General features: G+C 56.2%; 3 protein-coding genes across 7 annotated transcripts in view, besides 5 other annotated features; 2 read left to right on the top strand and 1 right to left on the bottom strand.

Annotated features, from left to right (window-relative positions):
* RAB5C (RAB5C, member RAS oncogene family) overlaps positions 1–3,528 on the top strand; it is a 30,011-nt gene extending 26,483 nt beyond the window's left edge. For all 3 annotated transcript variants that reach the window (NM_004583.4, NM_001252039.2, NM_201434.3), the window contains 3 exons: positions 124–246; positions 1,659–1,752; positions 2,609–3,528. In NM_004583.4, coding sequence (NP_004574.2) covers positions 124–246; positions 1,659–1,752; positions 2,609–2,724 — 333 coding nt within the window. In that variant the 3' untranslated portion in view covers positions 2,725–3,528. The remainder of the gene's footprint in view (positions 1–123; positions 247–1,658; positions 1,753–2,608) is intronic.
* Positions 4,851–5,388: an enhancer, noted in NCBI's record as "H3K27ac-H3K4me1 hESC enhancer chr17:40275137-40275674 (GRCh37/hg19 assembly coordinates)". NCBI's record gives its function as "activates a minimal SCP1, AML or CMV promoter by ChIP-STARR-seq in naive H9 embryonic stem cells {active_cell/tissue: H9 hESC(naive)}" and the evidence as "EXISTENCE:reporter gene assay evidence [ECO:0000049][PMID:30033119]".
* On the bottom strand, positions 5,155–5,703 carry HSPB9 (heat shock protein family B (small) member 9). The gene has a single exon (NM_033194.3). It carries the CDS (start codon positions 5,654–5,656, stop codon positions 5,177–5,179), a length of 480 nt encoding a protein of 159 aa, NP_149971.1. The 5' UTR covers positions 5,657–5,703; the 3' UTR covers positions 5,155–5,176.
* Positions 7,024–7,273: a silencer, noted in NCBI's record as "silent region_8516". NCBI's record gives its function as "represses an Ori minimal core promoter by ATAC-STARR-seq in GM12878 lymphoblastoid cells {active_cell/tissue: GM12878}" and the evidence as "EXISTENCE:reporter gene assay evidence [ECO:0000049][PMID:35858748]".
* Positions 7,140–15,396, top strand: KAT2A (lysine acetyltransferase 2A). Of its 3 annotated transcripts, none has more exons than NM_021078.3 (18): positions 7,140–7,541; positions 7,678–7,801; positions 8,137–8,282; positions 8,388–8,477; positions 8,789–8,970; positions 9,071–9,262; positions 10,104–10,210; positions 10,490–10,600; positions 10,693–10,829; positions 10,911–11,119; positions 11,346–11,472; positions 12,674–12,784; positions 13,472–13,615; positions 13,903–14,017; positions 14,113–14,149; positions 14,225–14,288; positions 14,423–14,507; positions 14,665–15,396. In NM_021078.3, the coding sequence occupies exons 1-18, from the start codon at positions 7,203–7,205 to the stop codon at positions 14,856–14,858; spliced, it is 2,514 nt and encodes an 837-aa protein (NP_066564.2). In that variant the 5' UTR covers positions 7,140–7,202; the 3' UTR covers positions 14,859–15,396. The 3 variants fall into 3 exon arrangements, with proteins under 3 accessions (NP_066564.2, NP_001363156.1, XP_006721881.1); NM_001376227.1 differs by having other exon boundaries at positions 13,472–13,618; XM_006721818.5 differs by lacking the exons at positions 7,140–7,541; positions 7,678–7,801; positions 8,137–8,282; ... (1 more) ...; positions 8,789–8,970; positions 9,071–9,262 and adding an exon at positions 9,266–9,453 and having other exon boundaries at positions 13,472–13,618.
* Positions 12,148–12,467: an enhancer, noted in NCBI's record as "active region_12186". NCBI's record gives its function as "activates an Ori minimal core promoter by ATAC-STARR-seq in GM12878 lymphoblastoid cells {active_cell/tissue: GM12878}" and the evidence as "EXISTENCE:reporter gene assay evidence [ECO:0000049][PMID:35858748]".
* Positions 12,148–12,726: a biological region, named in NCBI's record as "H3K4me1 hESC enhancer GRCh37_chr17:40267799-40268334".
* Positions 12,191–12,726: an enhancer, noted in NCBI's record as "H3K4me1 hESC enhancer chr17:40267799-40268334 (GRCh37/hg19 assembly coordinates)". NCBI's record gives its function as "activates a minimal SCP1, AML or CMV promoter by ChIP-STARR-seq in primed H9 embryonic stem cells {active_cell/tissue: H9 hESC(primed)}" and the evidence as "EXISTENCE:reporter gene assay evidence [ECO:0000049][PMID:30033119]".

Below are 15,402 nucleotides of genomic sequence, written 5' to 3'. Positions count from 1 at the left end.
ATCAGAATCTTTAGGTGGCAATGTCTTAGATAATTTGGCTGTGCCAGCTTGAGAGTCTCTAATGGGTGGCCCTGGGCAGAATGCCTTCTCTGTCCCTTCGACATTCTGTCCCTGTCTCCTCAGGATACATTTGCACGGGCCAAGAACTGGGTGAAGGAGCTACAGAGGCAGGCCAGCCCCAACATCGTCATTGCACTCGCGGGTAACAAGGCAGACCTGGCCAGCAAGAGAGCCGTGGAATTCCAGGTGGGGAGATGACAGACTTGGGGGAAGGAGTGGAGTAAGCAGCTCCCCCCGGCCTCGCCTGGGATGCTCAGGGGCTTTGGGAAGGGCCATGCTAGGAGGCAACAGGGAAGCTTCCATCTGCTGTCCTCTCGTGCCTCAGGCATGGGCCTAACATGGCTCCTGTCTGTAATCCCAGTGCCTTGGGAGGCTGGAGTGGGAGGATCACTTGAGGCCAGGAGTTCGAGACCAGCCTAGGCGACACAGTAAGACTCTGTCTCTGCAAAAGATTTAAAAATTAGCTGGGCTTGGTGGCACGCACCTGTAGTCTCAGCTGCTCAGGAGGCTGAGGCACGAGGATTGTTTGAGCCCAGGAGTTTAAGATTGCAGTGATTGCAACACTGCACTCCAGCCTGAGCAAGAGTGAGGCCCCATCTCTTTAAAAAAAAAAAAAAAACAGCCAGGTGTGGTGGCACACACCTGTAATCCCAATACTCTGCAGGCTGAGGCGGGAGATCACTTGAGCTTAGGAGTTCGAGACCAGCATGGGCAATGTGGCGAAACCCCATGTCTAAAAAAATACAAAAGTTAGCTGGGCATGGTGGTGTGCTACTCAGGAGGCCGAGGTGGGGAGGATCATTAGAGGCCAGGAGATTGAGGCTGCAGTGAGCAGTGATCGTGCCACTGCACTCCAGCCTGGGCAACACAGTGAGATCCTGTCTCAAAAAAAAAAAAAAGAAAAGAATAAAAAAAGCATGGGCCTAAAAGGAATTGCCCGTCACCTGTCTCTCCCTGGTTCTCTTTCTTTGGTGGTAGGGGTATGTGTATATATGGATCACTAGCCTTCTACTTCTCTTTTCTTGTAAGTTGACTTTTTAATTAAACTTATTGAGAAAGAAATACTTAAGTCTCTGCTAACCCTAGAAACTCAACTTCTCTTCTTCTAATTTCCCCAGTTTCTTGTCCTTCCAGAAATATGCACGTGTTTTTTAATCCCTTTCTTTACATTGATGGCAGTGTGCTATACATACTGTATATGATAATTTTTTACCAATCCCTAATAATAGCAAAAGACTGAAAACAGTGCTGCAGTAGACATCCACATACTTTTGTGCTTTTGTGCAAACATGTAAGTGTATTTGTAGGTTAACTTTCTAGAAGTATTTCCTAGCCTAGTGATTTTGAAGAGCAAGAAGGCAGGGTGGACCTGGGGAAACCCGGGTAAGACATCTGCTAGTGATTGTGAGCTGAGAGGTGATATACATGAGCGGGGAAACCCAGATCAGGGCAGCCTTAGGCCTGAAAACTCCTGTGTGTGTCCAGCTGATCTCTATTATGATAAGGTGCTCGAATAAGGAAGGTTTGTATCCTGGGCCCTGGGCCCTGGCCCCTGCCAACATTTCCCTCTCACCTCCTCTCACCTCCATCCAAACCAGGAAGCACAAGCCTATGCAGACGACAACAGTTTGCTGTTCATGGAGACATCAGCAAAGACTGCAATGAACGTGAACGAAATCTTCATGGCAATAGGTCAGTTGCTTCTCCTCCCCTCCTCTCTCCACCACAGCAAGGGCATATCACCTGTCTGCTGGTCTAGAGTGGGCCTGCGGGGTCCCTTCACCACTCTTTTTTTTTTTTTTTTTTTTTTTTTTTGAGATGGAGTCTCGCTCTATCACCCAGGCTGGAGTTCAGTGGCACGATCTCGACTCACTGCAAGCTCCGCCCCCCAGGTTCACGCCATTCTCCTGCCTCAGCCTCTCGAGCAGCTGGGACTACTGGTGCCCACCACCACTCCCAGCTAATTTTTTGTATTTTTGGTAGAGACGGGGTTTCACGGTGTTAGCCAGGATGGTCTCGATCTCCTGACCTCGTGATCCACCCGCCTCGGCCTCCCAAAGTGCTGGGATTACGAGCGTAAGCCACTGCGCCCAGCCCCCTTCACCACTTTTAACCTTCTGATAAAATTGTTTTCATCATCACCTGACTCCCAGATGTAGATGTTGGTTGTTCACCCGAGAAGTTCCTGAAGCCTGGGCCAGAGTCTCAACATTTCACTCTCTGAGCCTGTAGCCTGCCACCCATTTCAGAGCCTGCCATCACTACCCCTACCCACTGCCTAGGAGTTTTTAGCTCATTTGGCTCTGGAATCTTCCTTCCTGGGTTGCAGATCCTGGCTCTACCACTCATTAGCTCTGTAGTCTTGGGCAAGTTATTTAACCTTACTTTGCCGCAGTTTCCTGAAAACAATCAGAATGCACCTGACACACAGAAGCCCTCAATATGTGAGTTACCACTGATTGGGTATAAAGGCCAGAATCTGCTCCAGTGGAACTGGGAGAGTTATTGGGGTACCCCCAACAAATGCACTTTTCCCCCTCCCAAACAGCTAAGAAGCTTCCCAAGAACGAGCCCCAGAATGCAACTGGTGCTCCAGGCCGAAACCGAGGTGTGGACCTCCAGGAGAACAACCCAGCCAGCCGGAGCCAGTGCTGCAGCAACTGAGCCCCCCTTGCCTGCCCGCTGCCCCCGCCTCCTCCGCCTGAATGACCCGACTGGAATCCACTCTAACCAATCGCACTTAACGACTCGGGCCACCACTGGGGGGGCAGGGGGAGGGGTCCACCATGATTTCTCCATATAATTTTGATCATAGGCCGGAGTGAGTCATTCCACCTGCACCTTTCTGTACAAATACTAATTCAATTTTAAGTCTTAAGTCACTTTTTTAATATATATGATCTTCTGCTCTTCCCACTTCCTCCCCTTTCTACTGCTCTCCCATTTTCCCTTGCTGGGAGTAGCCACATGCTCTTGCCCCCCAACCCTTGTATATGGGGACAGTGGGGTCAGTGCAGCTACCCTTTCTTTCCCTCCTGCGGAACAGCGGACCCAGCAAGAGCATCCACATCCTCACTTTGTTCGGAGTGGTCTTTGGTTTGGGCGGTGGGGCAGACCTTGGGAAGGGGCTTAGGAAGGGAGAGGCAGCTCTTCCTTCAGCTGGCTCTCATCAGGCTGCAGCCCCCTCCCCGCTCCCACCTCCCTGCTGGGAAACCACAGCATTATCACAGCATTATTGTGACAGCCACGAACCCATTGCCCACAACCCCTCCACCCTCGGTCACCCCAACCTCTGGCTCTGAGCCCTGTTCTGACCAAATCATGATGATGAGTATTTGGGGGTGGGTGGGTAAGGGGGGGAGTGGGAGGGGACGGAACCAACTTTTTCTGTATTTTGTATTGTATGTTTTCTTCAACATGTAACCAATCAGTATCTTGTCAATATAGTCAGCCGATCGATCGACCTCACAATTGTCTTCCTTGTCTTTCTCTGGCAGTTTATCAGACAGTGCCCTCTGTAGTTGAAGTTGATTTAAAATGAACCACTGAATCTTGTTAAACAAAATCTTCCCCTCTAATGTGAGGGGATGCTGGTGGTCATGGTAACCAAGAGAAAGAGGCTCTTACTGTTAGCAGCTCCGATGAGGTAGCTGACCTGGGCTGACCAAGTTTGAAGTTTCAGGGCCCGTGTTCACTTCTCCACCTCCCTTCCCCTCCCCCACCTACCAGATCATACTGGGGTGACATGCAGTGTGTATTTGATGATCATTAGTCTCTGAAACACCAGAAACAACCTCTTTGGGTTTTTTTTGGTTGGTCTTTACCAGTGAGAGGGTCTGGATCCTCTCTCTTCCTGAAGAGGAAGGAATCCCAACAGCCCCTGGAACGCTGGACTGGTCTTAAGGCCAAGACTGTAGCCACTGGCTTTCCTCACCACCTCTGTCCACGTCACCCCCCCACACCACATCCAAGTTGCCCCAGTCCAGCTCTCTACTGGTTCTGGAATCAGGTCTGGGCACTCAGCTCTCTGCTGCTACCTGTTGGAGCTGCTGCTCAGCTAGGGCCACACTCTCCTCCAATTTCTCCCAGGGCCACAGAGGCCTGATTCCCTTTTTTTTTTTTTTTCTTTTTTTGAGACGGAGTCTCTGTTACCCAGGCTGGAGTGCAGTGGTGCTATCTCAACTCACTGCAGCCTCCACCTCCTGGGTTCAAGCGATTCTTCTGCCTTAGCCTCCCAAGTAGCTGGAATTACGGGCACCCGCCACCACGCCCTGCTAATTTTTGTATTTTTAGTAGAGACAGGGTTTCACCATGTTGGCCAGGCTTGTCTCAAACTCCTGGCCTCAAGTGATCCACCCGCCTCAGCCTCCCAAAGTGCTGGGATTACAGGCGTGAGCTACCACAGTCGGCTTTTTTTTTTTTTTTTTTTTTTTTTTTTTGAAACGGAGTCTCACTCTATTGCCCAGGCTGGAGTGCAGTGGCACGATCTCGGCTCACTGCAAGCTCTGCCTCCCGGGTTCACGCCATTCTCCTGCCTCAGCCTCCCGAGTAGCTGGGACTACGGGCGCCCACCACCACGCCCGGCTAATTTTTTTGTATTTTTAGTAGAGACGGGGTTTTACCGTGTTAGCCAGGATGGTCTCGATCTCCTGACCTTGTGATTCGCCCGCCTCGGCCTCCCAAAGTGCTGGGATTACAGGCGTGAGCCACCGCGCCCAGCATTTTTTTTTTTTTTTTTTTTTTTTTTTTTTGAGACAGAGTCTCACTCTGTGGCCCAGGCTGGAGTGCAGTGGCAGGATCTTGGCTCACTGCAACCTCCCTCCACCTCCCAGGTTCAAACGATTCTCTTGCTCAGCCTCCCGAGCAGCTGGGATTACAAGCACACACCACCACGCCTAATTTTTGTGTTTTTAGTAGAGATGGGGTTTCACCATGTTGGCCAGGCTGGTCTCGAACTCCTGGCCTCAAGTGATCTGCCCGCAGAGGCCTGATTCTTGGTGGACCACCACCTTGAGGGTGCCTTTCCTGCCTCCTGTGCCTCCAGTCCCTCTACCTCTGACTTCCATCCCCAGAAAAGACAACGGACACCAAGGCTGCTGCACATCGCGTCGTTTGTTTACCGGGTCAGGTTGGAAGCCTTAGAGCCGAGGCTCCCGAGTCTCGGGGACGGTCCTGTTTGGGCTTCAGGGAGGGCCAGCGCCACACACTGGCCTCTGACCCACAGCTGCCCGGAGGGGGTCAGGCAGCAGGTCATGGCGGTAGGACTCAGGTTGGACGGGAGCATTTTCCGGTGCACCTTCTGTGACATGCGGTAACTGACCCTTTCCGGGTCCCTGACGTCCAGTTGCTGCTGTCCGGTCACCATCAGCCATTGGCCATCCACCTGCACCACCAGTTCCTCCGGGGCGAAGCCGTGGGCATCCAGCTTCATTTGGAAACCGTCTCTGGCATGGTCATTGTCCTCCTGAGCCGCTGGACTGTCCCTGAGCAGCCGCACCGGCATTGTGGCCACCCGGTTCCGTTCAGCAAGGCCCACGCTGGGACACCGGGATGCCACCCGGCTCTCGTTGGAGAAGGTGTTACCGACTCTCTGCATCCGAGTCAGCAACTAACTGCTGTCAAAGGGCGCGAGGCTCCCAGCGCAGAGCTAGGCGCACGGACGCCCGGAGAGGAGGGACCTCGCGCGGCCTACCCGAGCTCAGCTCCGCTCGCTCGGTTCCCTTCGCTTCTGCAAACGCAGGCGGAGTTCGGGATCAGCCACGCCCATCTTACCTCCAAGAGCCAGACTGTCAGCGCCCTGGCGCGCCCGCAGCTGCTCTCCTCCCAGACTCCGACCCTTTCTCCGCCCTTCCCCACCTTCGTTAATGGACCCGGGGAGGCCGCAGCTGTGAAGGAACTGGATCCACGACCAGGCCAGACCCGAGGGAGCCGCACCCTGGCGCAGCCAACAGCAGATTGATCCCCCAGCTGGAAGGGGGCTGTCTTGCCTTCTAAGGACCAGGCCTGGGGCAAGGATTGTTCCTAGACAGAGCCAGGGGAGGGCGGCCTTCCTGGGTCATCCACCCTACCTCTCCCTGACCACCCACAACCCCACGCGGACACGCGACACGAGGAGGTGGACTGGTCTCTCCGGCTGCATTAATTCTTCCCGGGGCGTCCTGTGCTGCAGGCTGTGGTCTGGGCTCTGGGGCCACAAAGATGAAGACGCAGTTGGGGCTTCAGGAGAGTGGCTCCCAGTGCACAGAGAAAGACCTAGCCCTCCTCCGCCTCACCCTCCACGTCAGTAGCCTTCTTGGTGACCATCATAACCACAGCTATGCCTCTGGTGCTGTTATTTGATAATTTTTTTTTTTTAAGAGACAGGGTATCATTATGTTGCCCAGGTTAATCTCGAACTCCTGGGCTCAAGCGATCCTCCCATCTCGGCCTCCCAAAGTGCTGAGATTACAGGCGTGAGCCACCTCGCCCAGCCTATAAACTTTATTTTTTATTTTTTTGTAGAGATTGGTGGGGGGGGTCTCCCAATGTTGCCCAGCCTGGTCTCGAACTCCTGCAGGGCTCAAGCTCTCCTCCCGCGTGAGCCAGCCACCCGGCCTGATAAACTCCTTTTTGTTGAGTGATACTATTAAATACATACATACTGAAAAGCGCAGAAAAAGGTGCAGGTGAATGTCAGGAGGAGAACACACCCAAGTCACCACCACACTACTGCAGAACTGTTGCTACATCTCATCTCTACCGCAGCTGCAATTCCGTGTCCGGAGCCGCGTGGGGCAGGGCCTGTGCGGGAGTTGGGGGAGGGGGTTAAGTGGGAGACAGGCGCGTGAAAGAGGCAGACCCCACGATTCTCCCCAAGACTCCTTGTCCCCAAGAGGACAGCCATCGTGACTCTCCCGGACTCCATTAAAAGAGATTACAAGTGAAGAGGGGTCAATGTGGGGCCTTCACTCAGGCCTCACTTGGCTGTCAGGGGCCAAGAGACAGGACAGAAAAGTCTGGAAGCTGGAGGCAGTGAGGGGAAGGCGCGGGAAGACTACAACTCCCGTCATGCGCCGCGCAGCAACGCCTGCGCACTGAGCGCTGGTTGCCCATGCGGCCCTAGGGCTGGGAGCGCGGCGCCGCTCTCCGCTGCGGGGGAGGCCATGGCGGAACCTTCCCAGGCCCCGACCCCGGCCCCGGCTGCGCAGCCCCGGCCCCTTCAGTCCCCAGCCCCTGCCCCAACTCCGACTCCTGCACCCAGCCCGGCTTCAGCCCCGATTCCGACTCCCACCCCGGCACCAGCCCCTGCCCCAGCTGCAGCCCCAGCCGGCAGCACAGGGACTGGGGGGCCCGGGGTAGGAAGTGGGGGGGCCGGGAGCGGGGGGGATCCGGCTCGACCTGGCCTGAGCCAGCAGCAGCGCGCCAGTCAGAGGAAGGCGCAAGTCCGGGGGCTGCCGCGCGCCAAGAAGCTTGAGAAGCTAGGGGTCTTCTCGGCTTGCAAGGTGGGGGCGGGGCCTGGGGTGAAGGGGCGGGGCTTGGGGCATCCCAGGGCTCTGGTGGGAATGGGGTCAAAGCTCTGGCTGCGGAGCGGCTCTTGCCCCAGAGGTATAGGTCATTGACTGATCCTTCCACCTCCAGGCCAATGAAACCTGTAAGTGTAATGGCTGGAAAAACCCCAAGCCCCCCACTGCACCCCGCATGGATCTGCAGCAGCCAGCTGCCAACCTGAGTGAGCTGTGCCGCAGTTGTGAGCACCCCTTGGGTAAGGCAGGCAGCGCCCTTGGAGCTGGGGGCAGGTGCTGGGTCCTGCTTGGACAGGGTGACAAGTGCCACAAAGCTTCATCTCTGAAAAAATCAAAGATGCCTCGAAGGAGGGATTGGGTTGGGGGGGGGTGTGCACCAAGGGGGGAGAAAGGAAATCTCTCAGCCCAGAACAGGCCCAGGCAACCCAACGGTTGATATCGGAGCAGTCAGTCTCACTGTTGGTCACACTGGTTGGAGGAACAGAGTGTGTATCTTGCTTGGCTGTGAAGAGGGTCAAGAAGCCTTGTTGATTTCTTCTATCAATTTTTCCTAACTCTGCCATCTGTCTTGCAGCTGACCACGTATCCCACTTGGAGAATGTGTCAGAGGATGAGATAAACCGACTGCTGGGGATGGTGGTGGATGTGGAGAATCTCTTCATGTCTGTTCACAAGGAAGAGGACACAGACACCAAGCAGGTCTATTTCTACCTCTTCAAGGTGAGCTTCCACTAAAGGAGGGTGTGAGTGAAGGAGGTGGGGCCTTGAGGGGTTGTCTGCAGCTCTGCCCCCCTCCCCTCTATGCCCCCTTCCTCTTCTCTCTAGCTACTGCGGAAATGCATCCTGCAGATGACCCGGCCTGTGGTGGAGGGGTCCCTGGGCAGCCCTCCATTTGAGAAACCTAATATTGAGCAGGTGAGATAGGGGAATTGGAGATAGCGGATAGGAGAATTGGGGACAGCTTGGAGGAGTGGGGAGCCTGTGTTCTCCATTCTCCTCAAGCTGAGAACACTGGGGAGGTTCAGAGAAGGAAGGGTGTTTTGTGCTAACCTCAGGGTGGGCATGGTGGTAGGGAGGGGGCAGAGCTTTTCTATAGAGAGCACCCGAGAGAGAGAGGAGAAGGAGAACCTTGTCCCTGGCCAGGGAGCATCTTCCTTTGTCTAAGAAGGCCCTGCGGGCTGCTCACACCTCATTCCTGGTTTTATCCCCCACCCACCCCTTCTCAGGGTGTGCTGAACTTTGTGCAGTACAAGTTTAGTCACCTGGCTCCCCGGGAGCGGCAGACGATGTTCGAGCTCTCAAAGATGTTCTTGCTCTGCCTTAACTACTGGAAGCTTGAGACACCTGCCCAGTTTCGGCAGAGGTCTCAGGCTGAGGACGTGGCTACCTACAAGGTCAATTACACCAGGTAGGCCCAGCCAGGGGCAGCTTCGGGGGAGGCTTGCAGGCCCAGCCTGGGTTCAGTGGTTTCCGCCCTCACCTGTCTCCCCCTCGACCCCCTACTCCAGATGGCTCTGTTACTGCCACGTGCCCCAGAGCTGTGATAGCCTCCCCCGCTACGAAACCACTCATGTCTTTGGGCGAAGCCTTCTCCGGTCCATTTTCACCGTTACCCGCCGGCAGCTGCTGGAAAAGTTCCGAGTGGAGAAGGACAAATTGGTGCCCGAGAAGAGGACCCTCATCCTCACTCACTTCCCCAAGTAAGGCTCCTTCTGGCCTACCAGGATTTGGCCCCAAGTTCACATCCTCCCTGTTGTCCCCTTTTTTCCAGGAAGGCTTCCTGGATTGGTCCCTCCTCTCCCTCCATGGGCCTTTTGGGATCTGGGCGTCTACCTGGCAGACTTGCCCATGGCCCAGAAGCAACTTGCTAGTACTAGTCTGGGGATGGCAGGTACATAGCCCAAGCTAACGCTGCCCCCACCCGACCCTACGCCCCAGTAGATGTTACTAATTGTTTCCCATGGGGGCCTGGACACAGCCTCAGACTCCTTCCCTGCACAACTCTCCAAGAAACCAGACCTTAAGCTTGAAGTGAAACCAATTTCTACTCCTGTTCTGGTCTTTTCTGTACCATTTTCTTCTGTTCGGCCACACCTTTTAAAATCTAGGCCATAACTCCCCTGTTCAAAAAACCCTGACTGACTAATCCTGGCTCTCTAGTGCCCCCTGCCATCAGGTGGGAACAAGAGATGGCAAGGTGGGGTGGAGTCTGAGCCCATTTTGATACTGAGGGCAGTGAGGGGGCTCAGGGTGACAAGGTGCCCTGCCTGGCCACACAGCACAGGATGACATCAGCTCAGACCTGTCTCCCTGTGCCACACAGCGTGGTGAAACTGAGCCTGTTTGATCTCTGTCCTGGATGTGTCCTGTCCTCTTACCTTCAATTGGAGGCTCCCAGAAGACAGGGGCTGTCCCCTCTCTCAGGTCCCCAGTTCCCTAAGAGCAGGGTCTGTCTCTGACCAGCCTCCAGTCCCTCTGCTGCCTGGCCCAGGCTGCACCCTGGAGAACAGAGTTGTGGGACAGACTGTGTCCTCCCTACAGATTCCTGTCCATGCTGGAGGAGGAGATCTATGGGGCAAACTCTCCAATCTGGGAGTCAGGCTTCACCATGCCACCCTCAGAGGGGACACAGCTGGTTCCCCGGCCAGGTATGTGCCATGGTACGCTCTGTAGGGTGTCTGGCCTGCCTGGCTGAGCTAAGCCTCCTGGGTGGAAGAGAGCTCACCTGGGCCGGAGGCCCTGGATCCCACTGAGGGACCTGCCACCGGCTTCAGCCCCCCCAGTCCCTGCCTTCTCTCTCTCTCTCCTCAGCTTCAGCACCCCCGTCCCTGACTCTCTCTCTCCTCAGCTTCAGCCCCCGTCCCTGACTTCTCTCTCTCTCTCCTCAGCTTCAGCCCCCCATCCCTGACGTCTCTCTCTCTCCTCAGCTTCAGTCAGTGCAGCGGTTGTTCCCAGCACCCCCATCTTCAGCCCCAGCATGGGTGGGGGCAGCAACAGCTCCCTGAGTCTGGATTCTGCAGGGGCCGAGCCTATGCCAGGTGGATACTTGACCCCTGACCTCTGACCCTCATTCACTCCTTCCCAAACCTTTTTTACTGATCCTGAGCAACCTTGCCTGCCTCCCCAATAGGCGAGAAGAGGACGCTCCCAGAGAACCTGACCCTGGAGGATGCCAAGCGGCTCCGTGTGATGGGTGACATCCCCATGGAGCTGGTCAATGAGGTCATGCTGACCATCACTGACCCTGCTGCCATGCTGGGGCCTGAGGTGGGCAGCCCGACCTGCTGACCAGTTGGGGGACCCCCACCAACCTGAGACCCCGGCTCACCACCCCTCTTCTGTGCCCAGACGAGCCTGCTTTCGGCCAATGCGGCCCGGGATGAGACAGCCCGCCTGGAGGAGCGCCGCGGCATCATCGAGTTCCATGTCATCGGCAACTCACTGACGCCCAAGGCCAACCGGCGGGTGTTGCTGTGGCTCGTGGGGCTGCAGAATGTCTTTTCCCACCAGCTGCCGCGCATGCCTAAGGAGTATATCGCCCGCCTCGTCTTTGACCCGTGCGTCCCCCAGAGAGCCCCTCCCCCAGGGCAGCACACCCAGTTCCCTTCCTCCTCGGCCTCTTCACTCCTCAAAATTGGGGATCCCCTGCTCCCCACTTCTGAGGTTCATCCTTTGAGCATTCTTACTTCTCACTGCCCAACCCTGACTACAGCTCAGACTTCCAGGGCTCTGGGGACCTGAAGGGGACAGTCAGGGGCTATGACATGCCCCCCTCTCTCTTAGGAAGCACAAGACTCTGGCCTTGATCAAGGATGGGCGGGTCATCGGTGGCATCTGCTTCCGCATGTTTCCCACCCAGGGCTTCACGGAGATTGTCTTCTGTGCTGTCACCTCGAATGAGCAGGTCAAGGTGAGCGCGGCTCCCCGGCCCCAGCCCCAGTCCACGGCCCACTCCTGAGTTTGGGCCAGTTCGGAGCAGCAGGATGTGTGGCATGCAGCAGCCCGTTGCTCTTCTCTTAGTTAGCGGCCCGTTCCTCACATCCCCACAAGGTGGCAGCCGTACTTTGATAACTGTGGATTAGGAAACCACCTGTTGACAGACGGAGCCCAAGCAGCAGCCACACTTTGGTGGACCTGTGGACTTGGGTTTTCTGCATCACAAGAACATTTACATACATGGGGGAATTAATTACTTTACTTTTTATTTTTTATTTATTTTTTTGAAAGAGGGTCTCTCTCACCCAGGCCGCAGTGCAGAGGCATGATCAGGGCTCACTGCAGCCTCAACCTCCCAGGTTCAAGTGATACTCCTGCCTCGGCCTCCCAAGTAGCTGGGACCACAGGCATGCACCACTACGTCTGGCTAACTTTTGTATTTTAGTAGAGACAGGGTTTCACCATGTTGCAGGGTTTCACCCAGGCTGGTCTCTAACTCCTGACCTTAAGTGATTCACCCACCTCGGCCTCCCAAAGTGCTGGGATTACAGGCATGAGCCACCGCGCCCAGCCAAACTAATCATTATTACAGTAGCCCTATGCTGATAGTTTTGGCTTCTGTCCTTTGTTACAACAGACCCACTCGTAGGGTCTCTGGCTCTGTGTGTCGCATACCTCAGATCTGTGTGGTGCCTCATTGGCCCTGACGTGTGGGAGGCATTGCTCCTGCTGCTCAGACCTCTGGTGACTCCCTCTCCCGCTTCTCCCAACTCTGAGGCCCAGGGACTGGGAATCAGTGGCCTGTGTTGGGTTTGGACCCGGCCCTGCCACGGCTGGCAGCCTGACCTTGAACACATTTCCTAACGTAGCTGAGTTTCGGTTTTCTCTTCTGTAAAATAAAGGTGGTAATACTCGCCTCTGGGGTTAATTTGAGAATCGGTCTGTAAAACAGGAAGCACTGCACCTAGCCCAGAGTGAGCTTAGAAAGCCCGCACCCTTCACTTTCTCCCCATAAGCTCCCCTTCCTCTGTCAGCTGCCTTTCTTCCTCTTTGCCTGGATGCTCTCGCTCTCTCTACCTCCTTTCCAATCTACCCGCTCTTCTCTGGTCTCTGAGACCTCTCCAGCACCAGGCCCATCCTCAGCTCCTGGTGAGTCCTGCTTCCCTCCCCCGCAGGGTTATGGGACCCACCTGATGAACCACCTGAAGGAGTATCACATCAAGCACAACATTCTCTACTTCCTCACCTACGCCGACGAGTACGCCATCGGCTACTTCAAAAAGCAGGTGACCCGTAGCCTCGTCCCACACCGGTCCTTTGCCTGGAGGCTGGGGTAATTCTGTCCAGCCCCTCTGTGGATGGAGTAGGAGTCCCTTTGCGTCCCCTACTTCACCTGACACCTGCCAGGAGAGTCTCCATGCCTATCTTCTTTCCTCTGCTGCCATTGCCCCAGGGGAGAATGAGGGCCTGTGGGGCCAGTAGAGCAGGCCGGAGGAACTGGGGGTCAGTAGAGCATCCTGGAGGAACTAGGGGGCCAGTAAAGCAGGCCGGAGGAACTGGGGGGGGCACTAGAGCAGGCTGGAGGAACTGGGGGGCTAGTAGAGCAGGCTGGAGGAACTGGGGGGCCAGTAGAGCAAGCTGGAGGAACTGGGGGCCAAGAGCAGGCTGGAGGAACTGGGGGGCCAGTAGAGGAGGCTGGAGGAACTGGGGGGCCAGTAGAGGAGGCTAGAGGAACTGGGGGGCCAGTAGAGCAGGCTGGAGGAACTGGGGGACTCTTCGGGATGAGTCAGGAGTGGGCAGCTGACCTGGGACCTTTCCAGGGACAGTTTGAACCCTCACAGTGCCCCAGGAGGAGGTTCAGGAGCAGGAGGTGGCAAGTGGCACGTGCTACTCCTCTGGTGCTCCCAGGTGAGGGACGACAGAAGTTGGGAAATACTTATGGATGGACTGGGTCATGACCATCCACCCCCCAGGGTTTCTCCAAGGACATCAAGGTGCCCAAGAGCCGCTACCTGGGCTACATCAAGGACTACGAGGGAGCGACGCTGATGGAGTGTGAGCTGAATCCCCGCATCCCCTACACGGAGCTGTCCCACATCATCAAGAAGCAGAAAGAGGTGGTGTGCACACATGCGCATCTGTGGGATTTTTCATGAATGGGCATGCAGAGGGCGAGCACACGTGTGTAGACCTGTTCTACGTCTACATGCATATATGTGTGTGAGTGAGGAGGGGCAGGCCAGGATCTTGGCTCTTGCTCTGCTCCCTTGGGGAAGTTATGAGGGGAGGTGCTGGATTAGGTGGCGTTGCAGCTGGGTGGGTGCAGCCAGTGGCTCCGACTGTGGCCCTGGGAGGGGTTGTTGTTGGGGCTGGAGTTGGCCCCTCAGTCCCTTCCTTCCCTCAGATCATCAAGAAGCTGATTGAGCGCAAACAGGCCCAGATCCGCAAGGTCTACCCGGGGCTCAGCTGCTTCAAGGAGGGCGTGAGGCAGATCCCTGTGGAGAGCGTTCCTGGCATTCGTAAGCAGGGGTCTCAGTTGCAGGGTAGTGGGGGCACGATGCTTGGGGTGTGGACTGGCATTCTTAGAGACATTCTCCCACTTCCCACTTTGCAGGAGAGACAGGCTGGAAGCCATTGGGGAAGGAGAAGGGGTGAGTGTCAAAGGAGCCGGGTTGGGGGTGGGGCAGAGGGACTTGGAGCCTCAGACTTGGTGTCTCTCGCCCCAGGAAGGAGCTGAAGGACCCCGACCAGCTCTACACAACCCTCAAAAACCTGCTGGCCCAAATCAAGGTGGGGAGACCAGGTTTCCTTTCCAGGGCCCCTGCACCAATGGCTGTGGCCTCTTGATGCAGTGTGGGGTGGGTAGTGGTCTCGGGCTGGCGTGGGCGCAGCAGGGCTGTCCCCAGCCCGGCTCTTCTCTCCAGTCTCACCCCAGTGCCTGGCCCTTCATGGAGCCTGTGAAGAAGTCGGAGGCCCCTGACTACTACGAGGTCATCCGCTTCCCCATTGGTGAGGACCTTCCATTCCATCCCCTTCCCTCCTCTTCTGTCCCCACACCTGCTCCTGCCCTCACTGCGCCCTGCAGCCCCAGGGGGCCCACCCTGGTGGACAGCCCTGCCGTGGTCTTCAGCCTCTTAAAGCTGTGCTCCGTCTCCTGCTGCCCCAGACCTGAAGACCATGACTGAGCGGCTGCGAAGCCGCTACTACGTGACCCGGAAGCTCTTTGTGGCCGACCTGCAGCGGGTCATCGCCAACTGTCGCGAGTACAACCCCCCGGACAGCGAGTACTGCCGCTGTGCCAGCGCCCTGGAGAAGTTCTTCTACTTCAAGCTCAAGGAGGGAGGCCTCATTGACAAGTAGGCCCATCTTTGGGCCGCAGCCCTGACCTGGAATGTCTCCACCTCGGATTCTGATCTGATCCTTAGGGGGTGCCCTGGCCCCACGGACCCGACTCAGCTTGAGACACTCCAGCCAAGGGTCCTCCGGACCCGATCCTGCAGCTCTTTCTGGACCTTCAGGCACCCCCAAGCGTGCAGCTCTGTCCCAGCCTTCACTGTGTGTGAGAGGTCTCCTGGGTTGGGGCCCAGCCCCTCTAGAGTAGCTGGTGGCCAGGGATGAACCTTGCCCAGCCGTGGTGGCCCCCAGGCCTGGTCCCCAAGAGCTTTGGAGGCTTGGATTCCTGGGCCTGGCCCAGGTGGCTGTTTCCCTGAGGACCAGAACTGCTCATTTTAGCTTGAGTGATGGCTTCAGGGGTTGGAAGTTCAGCCCAAACTGAAGGGGGCCATGCCTTGTCCAGCACTGTTCTGTCAGTCTCCCCCAGGGGTGGGGGGTATGGGGACCATTCATTCCCTGGCATTAATCCCTTAGAGGGAATAATAAAGCTTTTTATTTCTCTGTGTGATTG

This window comes from Homo sapiens, chromosome 17 (assembly GCF_000001405.40).
Source record: "Homo sapiens chromosome 17, GRCh38.p14 Primary Assembly".
Taxonomy (NCBI): domain Eukaryota; kingdom Metazoa; phylum Chordata; class Mammalia; order Primates; family Hominidae; genus Homo; species Homo sapiens.
The sequence above is the reverse complement of the archived record's forward strand: the minus strand, read 5'-3'. Positions and strand labels throughout refer to the sequence as shown.

Excerpts from the sequence above, each read along its gene's own strand:
- KAT2A (NM_001376227.1), top strand. The coding sequence starts at position 7,203 with ATGGCGGAACCTTCCCAGGCCCCGACCCCGGCCCCGGCTGCGCAGCCC. Across the intron at positions 8,478-8,788 it reads AGAAACCTAATATTGAGCAG|GGTGTGCTGAACTTTGTGCA; the intron begins GTGAGATAGGGG and ends ACCCCTTCTCAG. Across the intron at positions 14,018-14,112 it reads GGAGAGCGTTCCTGGCATTC|GAGAGACAGGCTGGAAGCCA; the intron begins GTAAGCAGGGGT and ends CCCACTTTGCAG.
- HSPB9 (NM_033194.3), bottom strand. The coding sequence starts at position 5,656 with ATGCAGAGAGTCGGTAACACCTTCTCCAACGAGAGCCGGGTGGCATCC.